Here is a 24,510-nt window from a genome sequence, read left to right on the forward strand (position 1 = left end):
CACTGGAAACCCTCTCACAATCACCTAGGCATCTTTGAGACATTTGAGGATGTCCAGAGCAGAACTGTGTCAAGCTGACAAAAGTGGTTAATTCTGCTTCTGTCTCAGTATAAGAGAAATGAGTCATCCTGTGTTTGTTCCTCCCCTCATACAAGAGATACCTTTAGTTGGTACCCAGACAAGAGTTTCTCCAGTTTCTTGGTACTTGGGTGAAAAACAAGAAGGAGGTCCTGAGACTCAAACAGGTAAACTAATAGCTTCCATTTCATGTGGCCATTAAAAAAATAGATGAGGGAGTCATGGTCCCTACCACCCAGGAACTTATAGTCTAGACTAGCAACTGGGTACATGGTTGAATTAAACGTCATCATATCATTGGTACAATAAACAGATGTGTGCAGAAACGCTTGGGCTTTATTTGGACTACTTTATATTCTTCTGACTTCTGATGTCATCACTTGAAGGGATGTTTATGTTTATTTCTATTTATTTTACCTTGGTAGAATACATATGTATATTTTAATAAAATTACCCTAGGAACCATAAAAGACTGGTTTAAATTGCTTATTAGTATATGTCATAAAATTGGGCACTGTCTAAAAAAATATTTAAATTACACAGATTCTGGGATTTAAGTGCATCTTAGGTAAGCTTAGGAAAAACAAAACTGGAAGCACTCCCAGTAGCATAGAGAACAGAATTCTACATAGGGTCCACTCCCTGGCCAAGTTCTGTTTAGATCCACTGTTTTTGGAGGCCTTATTTAGGTCAGGTCCCACCCTGGAGTCTTACCTCACAGAACTGGATAAAAGAGATTAGAGTTTTGGCTGGGGAATCCTGCTTCATTTCTAGAGCGGGAGTGCAGTGGCGCAATCTCAGCTCACTGCAACCTCCACCTCCTGAGTTCAAGTGATTCTCCTGCCTCAGCCTCCAGAATAGCGTGCCACCATGCCTGGCTAATTTTTGTACTATTATTAGAGATGGGGTTTCACCATGTTGGCCAGGCTGGTCTTGAGCTCCTGACCTCAGATGATCCACCCACCTCAGCCTCCCAAAGTGCTGGGATTACAGGAGTGAGCTACTGCGCCTGGCCTTTTAAGTATCTTTATGCAGCTGATGTGCACCAGTGATCACATTTAATCTGGCACCTGCCTTTCTTTCTTAGATTTTCTTTGCATATATCTATCTTTGGAAAATGAAGTCTCTCATCTTTGTTTACAGGCCAGAAAAACTGGGAAAAACACAGGTTCCCCCACTTGCTGAATGTTTGACAAAAGATTCTTTTTTGGGCCAAAAACAGGCATCACTGGTGAGCTTGTCAGAAATTCAGAAACTCAGACTTTATTCTAGATCTTCTAAAATAAATATGCATAACAAGATCTCCAGTTAATTGTACACATTAAAATTTGAGAGGTGTCTTCTAACTCAGCATGTCTTTTTGATCTGAAAAATATACAAGACTTATTCTGTATGATGTAAATATAGCACAAAAAATGTACATGTTTGTTATCATGCCATTAGTTTTATACTTTATTATCCAGAAAGGTATCTTATCTACACTGGTGTTGCGGATCTTATGCCATTCTTTTTTCTCAGAATTTGAGACTACATTAGATAATATTTCTGTGTTGAAAATTATTTTATTGGATATGTTCGGTCATCCCTATAAGTTAGAATCTGTTCTCTTTATTCTCTCATTTCACCTTGAGTCAAATTAAAAATTTCTGCCCATGGCCACTTGGGAAATGTATATGTGTCTTTCGTTGTGTTTTTCAGGGACCATTGACATTTAGAGATGTGACCATAGAATTCTCTCTGGAGGAGTGGCAATGCCTGGACACGGTTCAGCAGAATTTATATAGGGATGTGATGTTAGAGAACTACAGAAACCTGGTCTTCCTGGGTGAGGATAATTTTAATTAAGCAATTCCTATTATATTCTATAGGTTTAATTTCTCTTTTCTGTAGAATGTGTTTTGGTGATTTATGCTTACTATAAATGAGTTTCACATCCCTGTTTTCTGGAAACAGGGATTTATAAGTGTAGAAAGGAATTTTTTTTTTTTTTTTTTTTGAGAAGGAGTTTCACTCTTGTTGCCTAGGCTGGAGTGCAGTGGTGCAATCTCAGCTCACTGCAACCTCCACCTCCCAGGTTCATGCAATTCTCCTGCCTCAGCCTCCCAAGTAGCTGGGACTATAGGCATGCGACACCACACCCGGCTAATTTTTTTGTATTTGTAGTAGAGATGGGGTTTCACCATGTTGGCCAGGATGGTCTTGATCTGTTGGCCTTGTGATCCACCCGCCTTGGCCTCCCAAAGTGCTGGGATTACAGGCGTGAGCCACCGTGCCAGGCCAAAAGGAATTTTTTAAAGATGTTTCATTTTTACCTGAACTTTTCACATTTCTGAGCAGATCTGTATTTTTCACTCTAGATTAGTGGAAATTGCTGAAATTGAGTGGCATAAAATACAGTTGCCACACCTTAAAATCTCATTGCCACCAACAATTTTTGATTCAGTAGTACCAGGTAGTAAAATTAAGGGCCTGTACAAATTGAAAATACTTTCTAAATATTTAGAAATGTATGTTATAAATTAGTATTGGGGGATCAATTTACTAGAATATTCTATTACATTCTCTTTAATGAGCATATTATTTGGGTAATATGACCAATATTTATGTTATTTATTTTTAATAAAACAGGTATGGCTGTCTTTAAGCCAGACTTGATAACTTGTCTGAAGCAAGGGAAAGAGCCTTGGAATATGAAGAGACATGAGATGGTAACTAAACCCCCAGGTATGTGAGAGTGAATACAACAGACAACACAGATAAGAGGTCCAGAGGTCAAGGAGAAAGCCAGTTCTCAAAATGTGACCTGAGAAGCTGTGCTCCAAAGGAAGTAGTTTCTGGGAAGACTGAGATTTTTTAAATTTTGCTCTCACGTAGAGGCATCTTCTGTCTTATGCTTTAAAATTCTCTAAGGATTCTGTTTTCATTTTGGTGATCTCCCTTCAAGTTTACAATGAGAGCCAAAGTCGTGTTCATGGCGTATAAGGGACTGCACAGTCTGACTGCTTTTCCATTGTTATTGGGGACACACAAATATCTGTATAGTTTTGAGAAACTATGTTAAAAGAACCTGGCTCTTTTACCTCACACTTGCTCTGTCTTTTACCGTGTGATATGTCCAGTTCCTTTTCGCCTTCCACTGTGATCATAAGCTTCCTGACCTGAGACACTCACCAGAAACAGATACAGGCACACACTTCTTGTACAGTCTGCTGAACTGTGAGCCAAATAAACCTTTTTTCTTTATAAATTATCTACTCTCAGATATTTTTCTGTATGCAAAATATTATAGTCTATAATGTTACCTACATTTTGTTTTCTTAATCTTTTACATGAATTTTCTATTTTTTATTATTATTGAAAATGGGGTCTCAGTGTCTGCAACAGTTATGTTGCTATATATTTCTTGCTTCACCTTTGTCAATATTTATGTATTTTGGAGCCCTGTTGTTATACCTACCTGTACATATAAATATAATAATTATAGATTCCTGGTAAATTGACCCATATTACTATTATATAATATCAATTTTTGTCTCATACTAGTACTTGACTTAAAGCATATTGTGTCCAATATAATTATGACTGTCTCACCCAATTGTGGCTACTATTTGCATGAAATATAAAGTTTTTAAATTCTGTTACTTACAGACTATTTGACTCTGCTAAAATTGGTCTCTTGTAGGAACATATTGCATGCTTTTTTCCTTAAGCCACTCAGTCATCTTCTTTCTTTTTCTTTTAATTAATTAATTAATTAATGAAATAGGGTCTCACTCTGTCAGCCAGGCTGGTTTGCAATGGTGTGATCATGGCAGTGAGCTGCAGCCTCAGCCTCTCAAACTCAGATAATCCTCTAGTTTCAACCTCTTAAGTAGCTGGATTACAGGCACATGGCATTAAACCTAGCTAGTTTTTTTGTTTTGTTTTGTTTTGTTTTTTAGAGACAGGGTTTTGCCTTGTTGCTCAGGCTGGTCTCACACTCCTGGAGTCAGGTAGTCAGCCCACCTTGGCCTCCCAAAGTCCTGGAATTACATTTCTTTTTATTAAGTAGTTTAAAAAATTTATATTTAAAATGATTTCTTAAAGAAATAAAGTTTTGCACTGGGCACAGTGACTTATGCCTGTAATTCCAGCACTTTGGGAGACCAAAGCGGGCAGATCACGAGGTCAGGAGTTCAAGACTAGCCTGGCCAACATAGAGAAACCCCGTCTCTACTGAAAATACAAAAATTAGCCAGGCATGGTGGCACACATCAGTAGCCCCAGCTACTCAGGAGGCTGAGGCAGGAGAATCAGTTGAACCCGGAGGTGCAGGTTGTGGTGAGCTGAGATCATGCCACTGTGCACCAGCCTGGGCAACAGAGTGAGACTCCATCTCAAAAAAAAAAAAAGAAAAGAAAAGAAATAAAGTTACATACCAGTTTCATTGTTCTGTTTTATGTTTTTTTTTTTAACATGTTTTTTCTCATTTCTTGTTTAACTATTTTTTGTTTAATTTTGTAGTGGCACGCTTTGCTTATTTTATTTTGTTTTGCATAGTTTCTATAAAATTTTTGTAGTTATCTTGAAAAACGGACATTATGTAAAATATCTTAAGATTAAATCAGTATGTTTTAATCTCATAACAATTTCAATGGAACAAAAAACTATATTTTTATATTTTCCAGTTTGTTATTAATATTATAAATTATTTCATATTGTGTATTCAGATTTATGCAGATTTACATTTTGTTTTTATATTCTATAGAAGAATTTTAAGGGTTTCTGCACTATTATTATAGTAAGAAATTTTATATATGTCTGTATATTTACATTTAATAGAAAGCTTTTTTTATGTTATCTAGAATCATTTTATTTTCAACATGAAAGACTCATTTTAGCATTTCTTTTTTTATATGTGTCTGTATATTTACATTTAATAGAAAGCTATATATTTATATATGGATTTTTGATACTGTCTAGCATCATTTTATTTTCAATATAAAAGACTCATTTTAGCATTTCTTTTTTCTATATGTGTCTGTATAATTATATTTAATAGAAAGCTATATATTTATATATGGGTTTTTGATGCTGTCTAGCATTTTATTTTTCAACATAAAAGACTAATTTTAGCATTTCTCTTGTTATATATGCAGAGTCTCACTATGTTTTTGTGCTGATCTTGAACTCCTGGTCTGAAGTTATCTGACTGCCTTGGCCTCCTAAAGGTGTAGGATTACAAGCATGAGCCACTGTGCGTGTCCACAATGTAGCATTTTTTTTTTTTTTTTTTTTTTTTTTAGCTGTGCTAGTGGTGATGAACACCCTTACCTTTCATTTTGGAAAGTCTTTATTTTTTACTGTTTTTAAAGTAAAATAATTTCTGATCAAGTGTTATGGATTAAGAATATTTTTTTTTCAGCCGGACGCGGTGGCTTATGCCTGTAATCCCAGCACTTCGGGAGGCCAAGGTGGGTGGATCACCTGGGGTATGGAGTTTGAGACTAGCCTGACCAACATGGAGAAACCTTGTCTCTACTAAAAATACAAAAGTAGCCGGGCATGGTGGTGCATGCCTGTAGTCCCAGGTACTCGGGAGGCTGAAGCAGGAGAATCGCTTGAACCTGGGAGGTGGAGGTTGTGGTGAGCCGAGATCCCACCATTGCACTCCAGCCTGGGCAACAAGAGCAAAACTCCATCAAAAAAAAAAAAAAGCATATTTTTTTCTTTTATTACATCAAAATTTGGAAAGCTCTGTGTTTTTTTTTTTTTTTTTTTTTTTTGTCTTTAAGTAACCTGTATACTACTTTATTTTTATTTATTTATTTTTTCTTAAGTTATTGGGGTACAAGTGGTGTTTGGTTACATGAGTAAGTTCTTTAGTTCTTTAATGGTGATTTGTGGGAGTTTTATGCACTCATCACCCGAGCTGTATACACTGCACCCTATTTGTAGTCTTTTATCCCTCGTTTCCCTCCCGCTCTTCCCCTCAAGTCCCCAAAGTCCACTGTATCATTCTTATGCCTTTGCATCCTCATAGCTTAGCTCCTACATATCAGTGAGAACATAAGATGTTTGGTTTTCCATTTCTGAGTTACTTCACTTAGAATGATAGTCTCCAATCTCATCCATGTTGCTGTGAATGCCATTAATTTATTCCATTTTATGGCTGAGTAGTGTTCCATCATATATATAATCTCACAGTTTCTTTATCCACTCATTGGTTAATAGGCAATGGGCATTTGGGTTGGTTCCATGATTTTGCTATTGTGAATCATGCTGCTATAAACATGTGTGCAAGTATCTTTTTCATGTAATGACTTCTTTTCTTCTGGGTAGATACCCAGTAGTGGGACTGCTGGGTCAAATGGTAGTATGACTTTTAGTTCTTTAGGAATCTCCACACTGTTCTCCATAGAGGTTGTGCTAGTTTACATTTCCATCAGCAGTGTAGAAGTGTTCCCTGATCACCACATACACACCAACATCTACTGTTTTTTTGATTTTTTTTTTATTATGGCCATTTTTGCAGGAGTAAGGTGGTATCGTATTGTGGTTTTGATTTGCATTTCCCTGATTATTAGTGATGTTGAGCATTTTTTCATGTTTTTTGGCCATTTGTATATCTTCTGTTGAAAATTGTCTATTCATGTCCTTAGCTCAGTTTTGATGGGATTGTTTTTTTTCTTGCTGATTTGTTTGAGTGCATTGTAGATTCCAGATATTAGTTCTTTGTCAGGTGTATAGATTGTGAAGATTTTCTCCTACTCTGTGGGTTGTCTGTTCACTCTGCTGTTTCTTTTGCCTTGCAAAAGCTCTTTAGTTTCATTAAGTTCCCGTTTTGACACTATTCCACAAGATACAGAGAGAACCCTCCCTAATTTATCTTTGTTTTTATTGCATTTGCTTTTGGGTTCTTGTATATGAAATCCTTGGCTAAGCCAATGTCTGAAAGGGTTTTTCCAATGTTATCATCTAGAATTTTTATAGTTTCAGGTCTTAGATTTAAGTCCTTAATCCATCTTGAGTTGATTTTTGTATAAAGTAAAAGATGAGGATCCAGTTTTATTCTATGTGTGGCTAGCCAATTATCCCAGCACCATTTGTTGAAAAGAGTATCCCTGGCCGGGTGCGGTGGCTCATGCCTGTAATCCCAGCCCTTTGGGAGGCTGACATAGGTGGATCACGAGGTCAGGAGTTCGAGACCAGGCTGACCAAGGTGGTGAAACCCCATCTCTACTAAAAATACAAAAATTAGCCAGGTGCAGTGGTGGGTGCCTGTAATCCCAGCTACTCGGGAGGCTGAGGCAGGAGAATTGCTTGAATCCAGGAGGCAGAGGTTGTGGTGAGCTGAGATCGTACCACTGCACTCTAGCCTGATCAACAGAGCAAAACTCCATCTCAGAAAAAAAAGAAAAGAGTATCCTTTACCCACTTTATGTTTTTGTTTGCTTTGTCAAAGTTCAGTTGGCTGTAAGTATTTGGGTTTATTTCTGGGTTCTCTATTCTTTTCCATTGGTTTATGTGCCTATTTTTGTACCAGTACCATGCTGTTTTCATGACTGGCTTTATAGTATAGTTTGAAGTCAGGTAATGTAATGGCTTCAGATTTGTTCTTTTTGCTTTGTCTTGCTTTGGCTATGCAGGCTTTTTTTTTTTGTTCCACATGAATTTTAGAATCATTTTTTCTAATTCTGTGAAGAATGATGATGCTGTTTTGATGGGAACTGCATTGAGTTTGTAGATTGCTTTTGGCAGTATAGTCATTTTCACAATATTGATTCTACTCATCGATGAGCATGGGCTGTGTTTCCATTTGTTTGTGTCATCTGTGGTTTCTTTTAGCAGTGTTTCATAGTTTTCCTTGTAGAGATCTTTTACCTCCTTGGTTAGGCATATTCCTAAGTTTTTGGGGTTTTTTTTTTTCACGGCTATTGTAAAAGGGGTTGAGTTATTGATTTGACTCTCTGCTTGGTCGCTGTTGGTGTATAGAAGAGCTACTGATTTGTATACATTAATTTTGTATCTGAAAGCTTTGCTGAATTATTTTATCATTTCTAGGAGCTTTCTTGAAAAGTCTAGGGTTTTCAAAGTGAACAATCATATCATCAGCAAACAGTGACAGTTTTACTTCCTCTTTACCAATTTCGATGCCCTATCTTTTTTCTGCTTGCTCTGGCTAAGACTTCTAGTACTGTGTTGAAGAAGCATGGCGAGAGTGGGCATCCTTGTCTTGTTGCAGTTCTCAGAGGGAATGCTTTCAACTTCTCATTCAGTATTATGTTGGCTCTGGGTTTGTCATAGATGGCTTTTATTACATTGATGTATGTCCCTTGTATGCCAATTTTGCTAAGAGTTTTAATCATAAAGGGATGTTGGATTTTGTTGAATACTTTTTCTGCATCTATTGAGATGATCATATGATTTTTGTTTTTATTCCTTTCTATGTGGTGTATCACATTTATTGACTTGCATTTGTTAAACCATCCCTGCATCACTGGTATGAAACCTATTTGATCATGGATTCTCTTTTTGATATGTTACTGGATTCAGTTAGCTACTATTTTAAGGATTTTAGCATCTATTTTCATCAGGGACATCAGTCTGTGGTTTTCTTTTTTGGTTAATGCCCTTTTCTAATTTTGGTATTAGGGTGATGCTGGCTTCATAGAATAAATTAGGAAGGGCTCCCTCTTTCTCTGTCTTGTGGAATAGTGTCAATAGCATTGCTACCAATTCTTTGAATGTCTGGTAGAATTCTGCTAAATTCTGTCTGGTCCTAGACTTTTTTTGTGGATGATTTTAAAATTACCATTTCAGTCTCGCTGCTTGTTATTGGTCTGTTCAGGGTATCTAATTCTTCCTGATTTAAGCTGGGTGGGTTGCATTTTTCCAGAAATTTACCCATTTCTTTTAGGTTTTCTAGTTAGTGCACTTAAAGGTGTTCATAGTAGCCTTCAATGATCTTTTGTATTTCTGTGGTGTCAGATGTAATATCTCCTGTTTCCTTTCTTATTGAGGTTATTTGGATTTTCTTTTTTTCTTGGTTAATCTTGCTTATGGTCTGTCAATTGTATTTATCTTTTTAAAGAGCCAGGTTTTTGTTTCATTTATCTTTTGGTTTTTGTCTGTTGGTTTGTTTCAATTTCATTTCATTCTGCTCTGATTTTGATTATTTTTTTTCTTCTCCTGGGTTTGCGTTTGGTTTTTTCTTGTTTCTCTAGTTCTTTGAGGTGTGAATTTAGAGTGTCTGTGTTCTTTCAGACTTTTTGATGTAGGTGTTTGGGGCTATGAACTTTCCTCTTAGCACCGCCTTTGCTGTATCCTAGAGGTTTTAATAAGTTGTGTCACTTTTGTTGTTGAGTTTGAAGAATTTTTTTAATTTCCATTTTGATTTCATATTTGACCCCATGATTATTCAGGAGCAGGTTTTTTAATTTACATGTATTTGCATGGTTTTGAAGGTTCCTTTTGGAGTTGAATTCCACTTTTATTCCACTGTGGTCTGAGAGAGTGCTTGATATAATTTCAGTTCTCTTAAATTTATTGAGGTTCATTTTGGGGCCTATCATATGGTCTATTTGGAGAAAGTTTCATGTGCTGTTGAATAGAATGTGTATTCTGCAGTTGTTGGATGGAATGTTCTGTATATATTTGTTAAGTCCATTTGCTCCAAGGTATAGTTTAAATCCATTGTTTATTTGTTGACTTTCTGTCTTGATGACCTGTCTAGTGCTGTCAGTAGAGTATTGAAGTCCTCACTATTATTGTGTTGGTGTCTATCTCATTTATTAGGTCTACTAGTAATTGTTTTATAAATTTGGGAGCTCCAGTGTTAGGTGCATGTATGTTTAGGACTGTGATATGTTCCTGTTGTACAAGACCTTTTACCATTGTATAATGTCCCTCTTTGTTTTTTTTAATTGCTGTTGCTTTAAAGTATATTTTGTCATATGTAAGAATAGCCCTTATAAACCTCTTGTTTAGCATGATATTGTGGGGTTCTCTGGCTTAGGTGAATAGCAAGCCATTTTCATGAATTACCTCATGCCATTAGGGGAAGAGGTATCCTCATTTTTTTCAATTTTTTATAGTGATCTGTGTTCCTGTTTCTCTCATTCAGTGTTATTTAATTTATTTGAAATTTTAAAAATTAATTTATTAATCTTCATTGTTTTATGGTTGCTTTCTAAAAATTTTATACTTTTTTTGATTGGGCCATGTTGTCCTAATATTCTATATACATTGTAATCGTTGATTAAAATTTGTACATCAAAAAAGCTACCTGTTGGAATCTTCATAATGTAGCCTTGTCCTGGAATAGTCTGAAACCAATTGTCTTGGCTAGAGATTCTGGGAGTCTGTCAAACATGTTCTTAGAATGTGTCTTGTCTGAAATTGTGTGTGTGTGTGTGTGTGTGTGTGTGTGTGTGTGTTTAGATAAAGAACGTTATTCAGGTTTCTTCTCAATAGTAATCACTTGCTACATCTATTTTTTGTGTGTGTGGTACTATATTCAGTGCTGCTGTAACATCTAACTTTGGTCTCAGCAGACTCAAGCTGTCATTTTAAAGTATGCCACCATTTCTTTCAGCACTTTATGTCATCAGAGACAAAAACCAGAAAGGCCCCTGGAAGCCAGAAATAAATATATATGTGCTACTGGTTTTTTTGTTTGTTTGTTTTTTTGAGACAGAGTTTCACTCTTTTTGCCCAGGCTGGAGTGCGATGGCATGATCTCGGCTCACCTCAACCTCCGCCTCCCAGGTTCAAGCAATTCTCCTGCCTCAACCTCCCTAGTAGCTGGGATTTCAGGCGTGTGCCACCACGCCCAGCTAATTTTCTATTTTTAGTAGAGATGGGGTTTCTCCATGTTGGTCACGCTGGTCTCGAACTCCCGACCTCAGGTGATCCGCCCACCTCGGCCTCCCAAAGTGCTGGGATTACAGGCATGAGCCACTGCGCCTGGCCATGCCACTGTTTTATTTGTCTTTAAACAATAAACCAGGAGTTGGCAATTTCCTTTTTTTTTTGAGACAGGGTCTCACTCTGTCACATGGGCTGGAGTGCACTAGCATAATCTCATCTCACTGCAATCTCTACTCCCCAAGTTCAAGTGATTGCCTCAGCCTCCCAAGTAGTTGGGACTACAGACGTGTGCCACCACATCTGGCTAATTTTTGAATTTTTAGTAGAGATGAAGTTTTTCCATTTTGACCAGGCTGGTCTTGAACTCTTGATCTCAGGTAATCCACTTGCCTTGGCCTCCAAAAGTGCTGGGATTACAGGCATGAACTGCTATTCCCAGTCAGCAATTTACTTCTAAAGAGCCTATGCTATTTTTGGTAGCAGGAAGAGCTGCATTGGGAAACTGTAACCGACTTCCCTTTCCTTCTGTGTGGCTCTTTGCATTGTGCTTACTTGGGGTACTTAACTTACATATAAATTTTCCACAAATGTATTTGGTCAGTATGTTTTTGTTACATTTATATGTCTATGAAGAAATTAGGGCCTGTCTTATTTTGCTGTGCCATCTTATGTGGTTTGCATAATTTTATAGGTTAGATTTGTAAAGTATATTCATCTGAGTCTAGCAAGTGGAATAATTTGTTATTTTTATTTCTTCTAGTTATGCGTTCTCATTTTACACAAGACCTTTGGCCAGATCAGAGCACAAAAGATTCTTTCCAAGAAGTAATACTGAGAACATATGCAAGATGTGGACATAAGAATTTACGATTAAGAAAAGATTGTAAAAGTGCCAATGAGGGTAAGATGCACAAAGAAGGTTATAATAAACTTAACCAATGCAGGACAGCTACCCAGAGAAAAATATTTCAGTGTAACAAACATATGAAAGTCTTTCATAAATATTCAAATAGAAATAAGGTTAGACACACTAAAAAGAAAACTTTCAAATGTATAAAATGTAGCAAATCATTTTTCATGCTTTCATGCTTAATTCGACATAAGAGAATTCATATTAGACAGAATATCTACAAATGTGAAGAACGTGGCAAAGCCTTTAAATCGTTCTCAACCCTTACTAAACATAAGATAATTCATACTGAAGACAAACCTTACAAATATAAGAAATGTGGCAATGCCTTTAAATTTTCTTCAACGTTCACTAAACATAAGAGAATTCATACTGGAGAGACACCTTTCAGATGTGAAGAATGTGGCAAAGCTTTTAACCAGTCCTCAAATCTTACTGACCATAAGAGAATTCATACTGGAGAGAAAACCTACAAATGTGAAGAATGTGGCAAAGCTTTTAAGGGGTCCTCAAATTTTAATGCACATAAGGTAATTCATACTGCAGAGAAACCCTACAAATGTGAAGATTGTGGCAAAACTTTTAACCATTTCTCAGCCCTTAGAAAACATAAGATAATTCATACTGGAAAGAAACCCTACAAGCGTGAAGAATGTGGCAAAGCTTTTAGCCAGTCCTCAACCCTTAGAAAACATGAGATAATTCATACTGGAGAGAAACCCTACAAATGTGAAGAATGTGGTAAAGCTTTTAAGTGGTCTTCAAAACTTACTGTACATAAGGTAGTTCATACTGGAGAGAAACCCTACAAATGTGAAGAATGTGGCAAAGCTTTTAGCCAGTTCTCAACCCTTAAAAAACATAAGATAATTCATACTGGAAAGAAACCCTACAAATGTGAAGAATGTGGCAAAGCTTTTAACAGTTCCTCAACCCTTATGAAACATAAGATAATTCATACTGGGGAGAAACCATACAAATGTGAAGAATGTGGCAAAGCTTTTAGGCAATCCTCACACCTTACTAGACATAAAGCAATTCATACTGGAGAGAAACCCTACAAATGTGAAGAATGTGGCAAAGCTTTTAACCATTTCTCAGACCTTAGAAGACATAAGATAATTCATACTGGAAAGAAACCCTACAAATGTGAAGAATGTGGGAAAGCTTTTAGCCAGTCCTCAACCCTTAGAAACCATCAGATAATTCATACTGGAGAGAAACCCTACAAATGTGAAGAATGTGGTAAAGCTTTTAAGTGGTCATCAAAACTTACTGTACATAAGGTAATTCATACTGGAGAGAAACCCTGCAAATGTGAAGAATGTGGCAAAGCTTTTAAGCATTTCTCAGCCCTCAGAAAACATAAGGTAATTCATACTAGGGAGAAATTGTACAAATGTGAAGAATGTGGCAAAGCTTTTAACAATTCCTCAATCCTTGCTAAACATAAGATAATTCATACTGGGAAGAAACCGTACAAATGTGAAGAATGTGGCAAAGCTTTTAGGCAATCCTCACACCTTACTAGACATAAAGCAATTCATACTGGAGAGAAACCTTACAAATGTGAAGAATGTGGCAAAGCTTTTAGCCATTTCTCAGCCCTTAGAAGACATAAGATAATTCATACTGGAAAGAAACCGTACAAATGTGAAGAATGTGGCAAAGCTTTTAGCCATTTCTCAGCCCTTAGAAGACATAAGATAATTCATACTGGAGAGAAACCCTACAAATGTGAAGAATGTGGTAAAGCTTTTAAGTGGTCATCAAAACTTACTGTACATAAGGTAATTCATACTGCAGAGAAACCCTGCAAATGTGAAGAATGTGGCAAATCTTTTAAGCATTTCTCAGCCCTTAGAAAACATAAGGTAATTCATACTAGGGAGAAATTGTACAAATGTGAAGAATGTGTCAAAGCTTTTAACAGTTTCTCAGCCCTTATGAAACATAAGGTAATTCATACTGGAGAGAAACCCTACAAGTGTGAAGAATGTGGTAAAGCTTTTAAGTGGTCCTCAAAGCTTACTGTACATAAGGTAATTCATACTGGAGAGAAACCCTGCAAATGTGAAGAATGTGGCAAAGCTTTTAAGCATTTCTCAGCCCTTAGAAAACATAAGGTAATTCATACTGGAAAGAAACCCTACAAATGTGAAGAATGTGGCAAAGCTTTTAGCCAATCCTCATCCCTTAGAAAACATGAGATAATTCATAGTGGAGAGAAACCATACAAATGTGAAGAATGTGGTAAAGCTTTTAAGTGGTTGTCAAAACTTACTGTACATAAGGTAATTCATACTGCAGAGAAACCCTGTAAATGTGAAGAATGTGGCAAAGCTTTTAAGCATTTCTCAGCCCTTAGAAAACATAAGATAATTCATACTGGAAAGAAACCCTACAAATGTGAAGAATGTGGCAAAGCTTTTAATGATTCCTCAACCCTTATGAAGCATAAGATAATTCATACTGGGAAGAAACCATACAAATGTGCAGAATGTGGCAAAGCTTTTAAGCAATCCTCACATCTTACTAGACATAAAGCAATTCATACTGGGGAGAAACCCTACAAATGCGAAGAATGTGGCAAAGATTTTAACAATTCCTCAACCCTTAAGAAACATAAGCTAATTCATACTAGGGAGAAATTGTACAAATGTGAAGAATGTGTCAAAGCTTTTAACAATTTCTCAGCCCTTATGAAACATAAGATAATTCATACTGGGGAGAAACCCTACAAATGTGAAGAATGTGGTAAAGCTTTTAAGTGGTCCTCAAAACTTACTGAACATAAGGTAATTCATACTGGAGAGAAACCCTGCAAATGTGAAGAATGTGACAAAGCTTTTAAGCATTTCTCAGCCCTTAGAAAACATAAGGTAATTCATACTGGAAAGAAACCCTACCAATGTGACGAATGTGGCAAAGCTTTTAACAATTCCTCAACCCTTACGAAACATAAGATAATTCATACTGGGGAGAAACCCTACAAATGTGAAGAATGTGGCAAAGCCTTTAGTCAGTCCTCAATCCTTACTAAACATAAGATAATTCATTCTGTAGAGAAACCCTACAAATGTGAAGAATGTGGCAAAGCCTTTAACCAGTCCTCACACCTTACTAGACACAAAACAATTCATACTGGAGAGAAACCCTACAAATGTGAAGAATGTGGCAAAGCTTTTATTCAGTGCTCATACCTTATTAGACATAAAACAATTCATACCAGAGAGAAACCTACAAATGTGAAGAAAGTACCAAAGCTTTTAAGCAATCCTCACACCTTACTAGACAAAACAATTCATACTGGAGAGAAACCCTACAAATGTGAAGAATGTGCCAAAGCTTTTTAACCATCCTTCAACCCTTACTAAACATATGATAATTCACACTGGGGAGAAACCTTAGAAATGTGAATAATGTGGCAGAGCTTTCAACCATTTTATAAACCTTAATACACATAGGATAATTTATACTAGAGACAGACCCTGCATATGTGAAGAATGTGGCAAAGCTTTTAACCAGTCCTCAAGCCTTACTAGACATAATTCATACTGGAGAGAAACCCTACAAATGTAAAGAATGTGGCAAAACTTTTTTTTTTTATACTTTAAGTTCTAGGGTACATGTGCACAATGTGCAGGTTTGTTACATAGGTATACATGTGGCATGTTGGTTTGCTGCACCCATCAACTCGTCATTTACATTAGGTATTTCTCCTAATGCCATCCCTCCCGCAGCCCCCCACCCCCTGACAGGCCTGGGTGTGTGATGTTCCCCACCCTGTGTCCAAGCGTTCTCATTGTTCAATTCGCACCTATGAGTGAGAACATGTGGTGTTTGGTTTTCTGTTTTTATGATAGTTTGCTGAGAATGATGGTTTCCAGCTTCATCCATGTCCTTCCAAAGGACACGAACTTATCCTTTTTTATGGCTGCATAGTATTCCATGGCGTATATGTGGAATGTGGCAAAACTTTTAACCAATCCTCAAACCTTACTAGACAGAAAACAATTCATACTGGAGATAAACCCATCAAATGTGAAGAATGTGGCAAAGCCTTTGACCAGTCCTCACAGCTTAAATACGCATAAGATAATTGATACTGAAGGAAAACTCTACAAATATCATAAATGTGGCATAGCTTCTAACCATTGCTCAGCTTTTACTCAAAATGAGAGAATTCCTAAAGAAGATAAACTCCACAAATGTGAATAATATGGCAAAGCTTTTGACCGGTCCTCAAATCTTACTGAACATAAGATAATTCATGCTAGAGACAAACACTACAAATGTGAAGAATGGGCAAAGCTTTTAACCAGTTCTCAAACCTTACTCAAAATAATTTATAGTGGAGAGGAACGCTACAAATTCAAAGGATTTGGCAAAACTTTTAAGTGTTTCTCAAAACTTACTGAACACAAGATAATTCATATTAGAGAGATACTTTACAAATGTGAAGAATGTGGCAAAGCTTCTAACGGGTTCTCAAATCTTACTGAATGTGAGATAATTTATATTAGAGAGAAACCCTACAAATGTGAAGAATGTGGCAAAGCTTCTAACGGGTTCTCAAATCTTACTGAATGTGAGATAATTTATATTAGAGAGAAACCCTACAAATGTGAAGAATGTGGCAAAGCTTTTAACTGGTCCTTAAACCTTACTGAACATAAGATAATTAATACTAAAGGAAACCCTAAACATATAAAAAATGTGACAAAGCTTTTAACTGGTTTTGAGACCTTACTCAAAATAAGATAGTTTATACTGAAGACAAACTCTATAAATGTGAAGAATGTGACAATGCTTTTAATCAATTCTCAGACTTTACTAGACGTAAGAAAATTCGTACTGGAGAAAAACCCTACAAATGTGAAGAAAGTGGGAACACTTTTAGCCAGTCCTCAACTCTTACTAAACAAGATAATTCAATGGGAGAGAAACCCTACAAATGTGAATAATGTTATAACCATTCTATTTATGTGTTTACATGTTTAGTGTTGAAATAATGTTTATTTTTCATATTGATATTACAATTTGGAGACATTTTTCACTCACAATTTTTGAAGTGGGTGAATTTCAGTCTACAGTTTTTATTTTTAGTCACTTCACTGTAGGCAACTCTGGTAATTTTCTCTGGAAAAATTTTGGAGACGAAGTTGTAATGGCTTTCAGGTTAAAACATTTCCTGTTATTTTGCATGCAAACTTGTTTACGGTGTTCAAACAGTGGCCAATCTTTAGGTCATAAACAACACCTACCCTTTTAATGTCTTTCATACCATTGCAATTAGCACCAAAAACTTCTGCTGTCTTAAACTTAAAATAAAAGCCCTAATGTACGTTGGCTCCTCCCATGCACGGTACTGAGTTCAGAACATGCTGTTAAATGTCAGAGTTCCTATGGTTATGACTGAAAAATTAAATGACAAGACAGCACAAAACTATATACTTTTGATACCATTTAGCCAAGTTAATGACAAAGACAGAGAATATTTGAAAAAATTGATATCCTTCTATAATGTTTTAAATATATATTTTTCAACTTGACAGATAAAGCATGTATTCTGTAAAACATGATGTTTTGAAGTATATATATACATTGTCAAACTTAATTTTAGGTAATTAATGCTGTACCTCACATAGTTAACATTTTTGTGGTGAGAGCACATGACATTGTCCTAGCATTATTCAAAAATACATTATTATTAACTATAGACACCATGCTGTACAACAAGTCTTTTGAATATATTACTTTTATCTAACTATAATTATGTATTATTCTTTGACAAACATCTTTCTAAAGCCCTCTTTTAGATACCTTGGCATCTGGTGGTTACAATTTTATTCTGTGCTTCAGTGAATTTAAGTTTTATATCATTCATGTTTAGGTGAAATCATAAAATTTTCTTTCTGTTCCTGGCTTATTAAAAGATAAATAGATAAATTTTATATATATACTACTTTGTCAGTATTTAATCATTAGATGTTGAACTGTTGATTCTATATTTTGGCTATTATGAAGAGTGTTGCAGACAACATAGAAATACAAATATTTCTCATTCTGATTTCATTTGTTTTTAAATATATATATATCCTATAGTGAAATTGCTGCATTATATGGCAGTTTTATTTTAAATTTATTGAGAAATCTCTATTTCGGTTTTCATAATGGCTGTTCTCATTTACACTCAGACTAGCAGTGTGCAAGCATTCCTTTTACTTCACATCTTTACCAACACTTTTTTTTCTTTTTAATAAGAGTCATTCTAATATGAGTGACTTTTTATCTCATAGATTTTTTGGCTTGCCTTTCTCTGATAATAAGTGTAATTGAGCATTTTAAAATATCTCTTGGCCATATGTATGTCTTTTTAAAATATTTAAGCCTTTTGCTCATTTTTCATAGTTATTTGTTTTTTTATTGTATAGTCACTTTCTTACATGATCTTGATATTCACCCCTTGTCACAAGTATGGTTTGCAAAAATGTTCTCCCATTTGTCTTGTTGATTATATCAGATTCTGTACAGCAACTTTTTAATATGAAGTAATCTGACTCATCTATTTTTCCTTTAGTTCCCTGGGATTTTGAGGTTAAATTAAAAAAAATTACTGTTGAAACCAATGTTACGGGGCTTTCAGTCTATATTTTTTGTAGTAGTTTCAGAGTTTCAGGCCTTACATTTAAGTATTAATATATTTTCAGTTGATTTATATATGTGGAGTAAGATGAGAGACTCATTGCTCTGCATGTGGCTATAGTTTTCTCAACACTATTTATTGAAGATACTGTCATTTTCCTAAGAAATTGTCACCTATATAAAAAATCAGTTAGCTTTAAATACATGGATATATTTCCTGTCTCTTGTGCTCCATTGGCCTGTGTGACTCATTTTGTTCAAGTACCATACTGTTTTCATTACTATAGCTTTGCAGTATATTTCAAAGTCAGGTAGGATGATACCTTTAGCCTTTCTTTTTTGCTTGAATGCTTCTGCTATTCAGGGTCTTTTGTCATATCATATAAATTTTAGGGTTTTTGTTTGTTTTTGTTTTATTTTAGACAGAGTTTCACTCTTGTCACCCAGGCTGGAGTGCGATCGTGCAATCTCAGCTCACTGCAACCTCTGCCCTCAGGTTTAAGTGATTCTCCTGCCTCAGCCTTCTGAGTAGCTGGGATTACAGGCACACACCACCATGCTGGGCTAATTTTTTTTTGTTGTTGTTGTTGTTTTAAAAATGTGTGGGTTTTTTTATAGTATTTATTGATCATTCTTGGGTGTTTCTCGGAGAGGGGGATTTGGCAGGGTCATAGGACAATAGTGGAGGGAAGGTCAGCAGATAAACATGTGAACAAGGGTCTCTGGTTTTCCTAGGCAGAGGACCCTGTGGCCTTCTGCAGTGTTTGTGTCCCTGGGTAGTTGAGATTAGGGAGTGGTGATGACTCTTAAGGAGCATGCTGCCTTCAAGCATCTGTTTAACAAAGCACATCTTGCACCGCCCTTAATCCATTTAACCCTGAGTGGACACAGCACATGTTTCAGAGAGCACGGGGTTGGGGGTAAGCTTATAGATTAACAGCATCCCAAGGCAGAAGAACTTTTCCCAGTACAAAACAAAATGGAGTCTCCCATGTCTACCTCTTTCCACACAGACACAGCAACAATCCGATCTCTCTCTCTTTTCCCCACATTTCCCCCTTTTCTATTCGACAAAACCACCATCATCATCATGGCCCATTCTCAATGAGCTGTTGGGTACACCTCCCAGACGGGGTGGCGGCCGGGCAGAGGGGCTCCTCACTTCCCAGACGGGGTGGCCGCCGGGCGGAGGGGCTCCTGGCTTCTCAGACGGGGCGGCCGGTGGGCGGAGGGGCTCCTCGCTTCTCAGACGGGGCGGCTGGGCAGAGACGCTCCTCAGTTCCCAGACGGGGTCGTGGCTGGGTAGAGGCACTCCTCACATCCCAGACGGGGCGGCGGGGCAGAGGTGCTCCCCATATCTCAGACGATGGGCAGCCGGGCAGAGATGCTCCTCACTTCCTAGGCGGGATGGCGGCCGGGAAGAGGCATTCCTCACTTCCCAGACTGGGCGGCCAGGCAGAGGGGCTCCTCACATCCCAGACGATGGGCGGCCAGGCAGAGACGCTCCTCACTTCCCAGACGGGGTGGCAGCCAAGCAGAGGCTGCAATCTCGGCACTTTGGGAGGCCAAGGCAGGTGGCTGGGAGGTGGAGGTTGTAGCGAGCTGAGATCACGCCACTGCACTCCAACCTGGGCAACATTGAGCACTGAGTGAACAAGACTCCGTCTGCAATCCTGGCACCTCGGGAGGCCGAGGCTGGCAGATCACTCACGGTTAGGAGCTGGAGACCAGCCCGGCCAACACGGCGAAACCCTATCTCCACCAAAAAAATATGAAAACCAGTCAGGCGTGGCGGCGCGCGCCTGCAGTCCCAGGCACTCGGCAGGCTGAGGCAGGAGAATCAGGCAGGGTGGTTGCAGTGAGCCGAGATGGCGGCAGTACAGTCCAGCCTCGGCTTGGCATCAGAGGGAGACCGTGGAAAGGGGAGACGAGGGAGAGGGAGAACGTAGAAAGGAAAAGGGAGAGGGAGAGGGAGAGAGCTAATTTTTGTATTTTTAGTTGAGATGGGGTTTCACTGTGTTGGCCAGGCTGGTCTTGACCCCGCCTCTGCCTCCCAAAGTGCTGGGATTATAGGTGTGAGCCACTGTTCCCAGGCTTGAGCACACTTTTATTAGTTTTTCTCTGTTTAGTCCTTTTGTTTGTTTCTATTTTAATAAGAATTTTAATTTCTACCTGAAATTACTAATTTGAGCCCAAAGTATCTGAGATGTCAGAGTGTCAGGAGGTTGTGACAATGCGTGCCCAAGGTTGTTGGGGCACATGTTGGTTTTATACATTTTAGGGAGACAGGAGACATCCATCACTATATGTAAGATGCACATTGTTCAGAAAAGGACAACGCGAAGTGGGGCGGGAGCTTCCAGGTCATAGGTAGATAAAGGGCAAATGGTTGCAATTTCCTCTGAGCTTCTGATTAGCCTTTTACTGGGTTTTTTCCAGGTCTGTCTTTCCTAAGCCTCCAAGTTTATCTGGAGTCAAGAGAAACTTGACTCCATGTTTGTAGAATTTTAATCTATTTTGGCCAATTTTATGTCTACTTTATAACATATAACAACAGGTAATTTAACCAAAACCCTTATGGTTTTCTTGCACAGCTATAAGCTACACATGTATTCTTAGCAAGGTAAAAACAACAGAAACCATGATGATTACAATAACCACCCTTCTGTGCATGAGTAGCCCTTCAGCTGGGACATCACACCCCACTGTAGAGTTTCTGAATCCTACACCTGAAGGCAGTCAAAAGTTGGAAAATTGTCTTGCACACATAGATCTGGTCCACAGGTAGGTTGGTGACTCCCACACCATGATTCAGCACACCCACGAAATGGTGAATTTACTAAGAAGACAAAGTTTACAGGAAGAATAGAGGCTCTGATGCAGTCCACTGTTGAGATTGTGACTCATGTACTTAGACTCAACATTCAGGAGGTGTTGACTCTTATACCTAAAACTGGGACATGTATGGAATTGTTAATCTCACCGTGGATCTTCTGTAGATGTTATTGTGACATATGCCTCTCCCATGACATATGCCTCTCCCAGCACCTGAGTGATTTGACTCTCTTGGGTCCCAGCTGACAGATGGGATTGTGGCATATCACTGGACACAGCACCTAGGTGATGTGACACTATTCTCCTGCCTTGGCACTACCTACCTGGGGCTTTGTGACACGTCTGTGCTCATAACTAAGGGGATGTGATTCTCTTCTCTTGCCTGATGTCTGCTCACGTGGGAGACAATGACATATCGCTGGGCCCAATGCCAAAGTGACATTGCTTTTTTACCTTGACCCTCTTCTCAGAAAACATCGTGACGCATTGTTGGGGCACAGTCAACGTGACGTGAGTCTCCTGCATGAACCCTGACCACAGAGACCATCGTGACATAATCTCTGGAAGCTCAACTATTGGAAATGATTACCTTGTTATACCTGCTCTTTGCCCATAGGAGAGAATGTGACATATCTCTGGGCCCAGGACTTAGTTGATGTAACTCTGCTCTCCTGCCTGGGCTATGCCTACAGAAGAAAGAGTGACTTATCACTGGGCCCAGCACACAGGTGATGTGATTCTACTGCCTTGATCCTTGTCCATAGGAATCATCATTACATACTTGTGGGCTCTTCTGCTGGATGATGTGTGTCTCCTTTTCTGTCCACAGAGGAGATTGTGACATATCACTTGACCCAGCACCTACATGATGTGCCTCTCATGCCTTGGCTTTTCCCACTGGGCTAATTGTGACATATAGCTGGGCACAGCTTCTAGGTAATTTAACTCTTCTCTTCCTGAGTCCTACCCACAGGGGGCATTGTGATGTGTCTCTAAGCACTTCACCTAGGTAATATGACTCTTTTCCTTGACCCTCCCCTAATACGGTATTGTGACATATTTCTGGACCACCACCTAGGTGATGTCACTCTTTTCTCCTACCTTTTACTGGAAGTGAATTCATACGGGTATGAGTGCAGGAACCTCGATTCTTGCCTTAGAAGAAACAACTCGACTGAGGGGCATAAAGCAGGAGAGACCGAAGCAAGTTTTAAAGCAGCAGTAAAAGTTCATTAGAAAGCTACAGAACAGAAACAAAAGGAAGGAAAGTACACTTGGAAGAGGGCCAAGTGGGTGACTTAAAAGGCAAGTGCACGGTGTGACTTTTTGACTTGGGATTTTGTATGTTGACATACTTCCGGGGTCTTGCATTACTTCCCCCTACTTGCCCAACTCTTGAGATCTTATTGGGAAGCTGCTGATCACTAGTTGTAGGTGATCCACTAGTTGCCCACTTGAGAACAGAGGAGATACTGGAGTGAACTGTGGCCCCCTCTTCATCCTTGGGGTTCAAGTCTTACCATGCACACCTAGCTTTTGATCTCTGTTTTATGGGTCTCTTGCACCTGTGGCCTTGGCCTGGCCTACATCATTGACTCCATTGACCTCTAGTGACTCTAGTTAAGAGCATTCTAGCAACAAAATAAGTATTTCTCTTCTCAGATTTCCACTTCCCATGTTCTTTTAGTATATGTGAAGCCCATTTTTCAGCTAACTGCCCAAAGGGGGCTAGACTTCCCTCCCCACTCTTTTTATATATGACCTTGAAGGTCTTGATGCATATTGAGAAGGGCAGGAAAGTAATTAGAAAAATGGAGGCTACAGAAGAAAGTGAACGGAAGTGAGAGGAATACTCAAGGGAAGACTTCATATGCTTAACAAAACAGCAGCCCTTGGATTCAAGAGGATAATAATGTTCATCCAAAGCAGGTGGACAAACTGCTTCAAAAGTCACTGAGAAACTCATTCCTGGGGCATAACAGAAATGAGAAGTATATGATAAGTCATAAGCTGTCAGAGCCAGAGTTGGAATTAGTGTGGATTAGTGGAATTAGATTAGAGGCTTATGTCTGGACCCTATCTACAAGGAAATTGTGACATATCTGCGTTCATCAGCAAAAAGTAGTGACTCTACTTTTTTCTACTGGGAAGATTGTAACCTATTACTGGGCGCAGAAAACAGGTGACATGCTTCTCCTGCCTGGGCCTTGGCCACAAAAAGTTTTGGGATATAACATGGCTCAGCACCCAGGTGATGCAACTCTGCCACCTGTGCCCTGCTTTCAGGTGGGGATTGTAACATATTCCTGGCTAAGCATCAAGGTGATGTGACTCTCCTGCCTGGTCTTTGCCCTCCGAAAATATTGTGACATATTCCTGGGCCAGTGCCAAGGTGACGTAACTCTCTTACTCATTCCCTACACACAGGAGGGATGTTGATATATATATTTGCTGAGATCACTGATATGATGATGACATTTATACAAAAAAAAAGTTATACCACTCCCTCACATACAGTATAAAGCCGTCAAGTGGTACAAACTCATCACAGGACACAGCACAAATATGAGATTGTTTTTTGTGTGTGCAACCTGCCAACCTTTAAAGTCACCCACACACATGGACAGGGTCCAATTTTGAAGTCCTGAAACTCACAAGTAGACACAGTTCAAAGTTAAAATTGTGACTGTCATATGTGAACACCTGGCCACTGTTGGGTTAGTGACTGTTTAATAAACCCAGCTTATAGGCAGGTAAAATCTTTCCAATCTGGACTCTCCTAATTGAAGAGATGTTGACTCATACCTGGGCTTAGGGCCACGGGTACAATCACAGGTCCATATCAGTACAAATGTGTCAGAGTAGATTGTGACTTTCATACATAATGTATAAAGCCCTCGGGTGGTACAGAGAGTGTCCTAACAGGACCGAGAACACGGATGAGAATATGACACTCATGCATACTCACCCAACAGTCAAGATTGTCATCTTTCCACATGAACACAGCCCACAGCTGAGGAACTGAATCTCACAACTGGAGGCAAAGGGTGGACTTTTCACATGTGGAACCAGTCAAAAGGAGGGCTGGTGACTTTCAGACCATGACTCAGCATACCTGTAAGGCTGTGACTAAGGAGACACAGTCCACAAAAGTGATTGAGGCTCTCATGCACGATTCCAGTCCACCA

At 38.5% G+C, this 24,510-nt stretch overlaps 1 protein-coding gene across 1 annotated transcript in view, besides 1 other annotated feature; it reads left to right on the forward strand.

Annotated features, from left to right (window-relative positions):
• The window catches only part of ZNF729 (zinc finger protein 729), a 30,736-nt gene extending 15,541 nt beyond the window's left edge, over nt 1-15,195 (forward strand). The window contains exons 2-4 of the mRNA NM_001242680.2: nt 1,777-1,903; nt 2,707-2,802; nt 11,690-15,195. Of these exons, the coding sequence (NP_001229609.1) occupies nt 1,777-1,903; nt 2,707-2,802; nt 11,690-15,195 (3,729 nt within the window). The remainder of the gene's footprint in view (nt 1-1,776; nt 1,904-2,706; nt 2,803-11,689) is intronic.
• Nucleotides 19,682-20,386: an enhancer, noted in NCBI's record as "H3K27ac hESC enhancer chr19:22504465-22505169 (GRCh37/hg19 assembly coordinates)". NCBI's record gives its function as "activates a minimal SCP1, AML or CMV promoter by ChIP-STARR-seq in primed H9 embryonic stem cells {active_cell/tissue: H9 hESC(primed)}" and the evidence as "EXISTENCE:reporter gene assay evidence [ECO:0000049][PMID:30033119]".

Source organism: Homo sapiens, chromosome 19 (genome assembly GCF_000001405.40).
Source record: "Homo sapiens chromosome 19, GRCh38.p14 Primary Assembly".
Taxonomy (NCBI): Eukaryota; Metazoa; Chordata; class Mammalia; order Primates; family Hominidae; genus Homo; species Homo sapiens.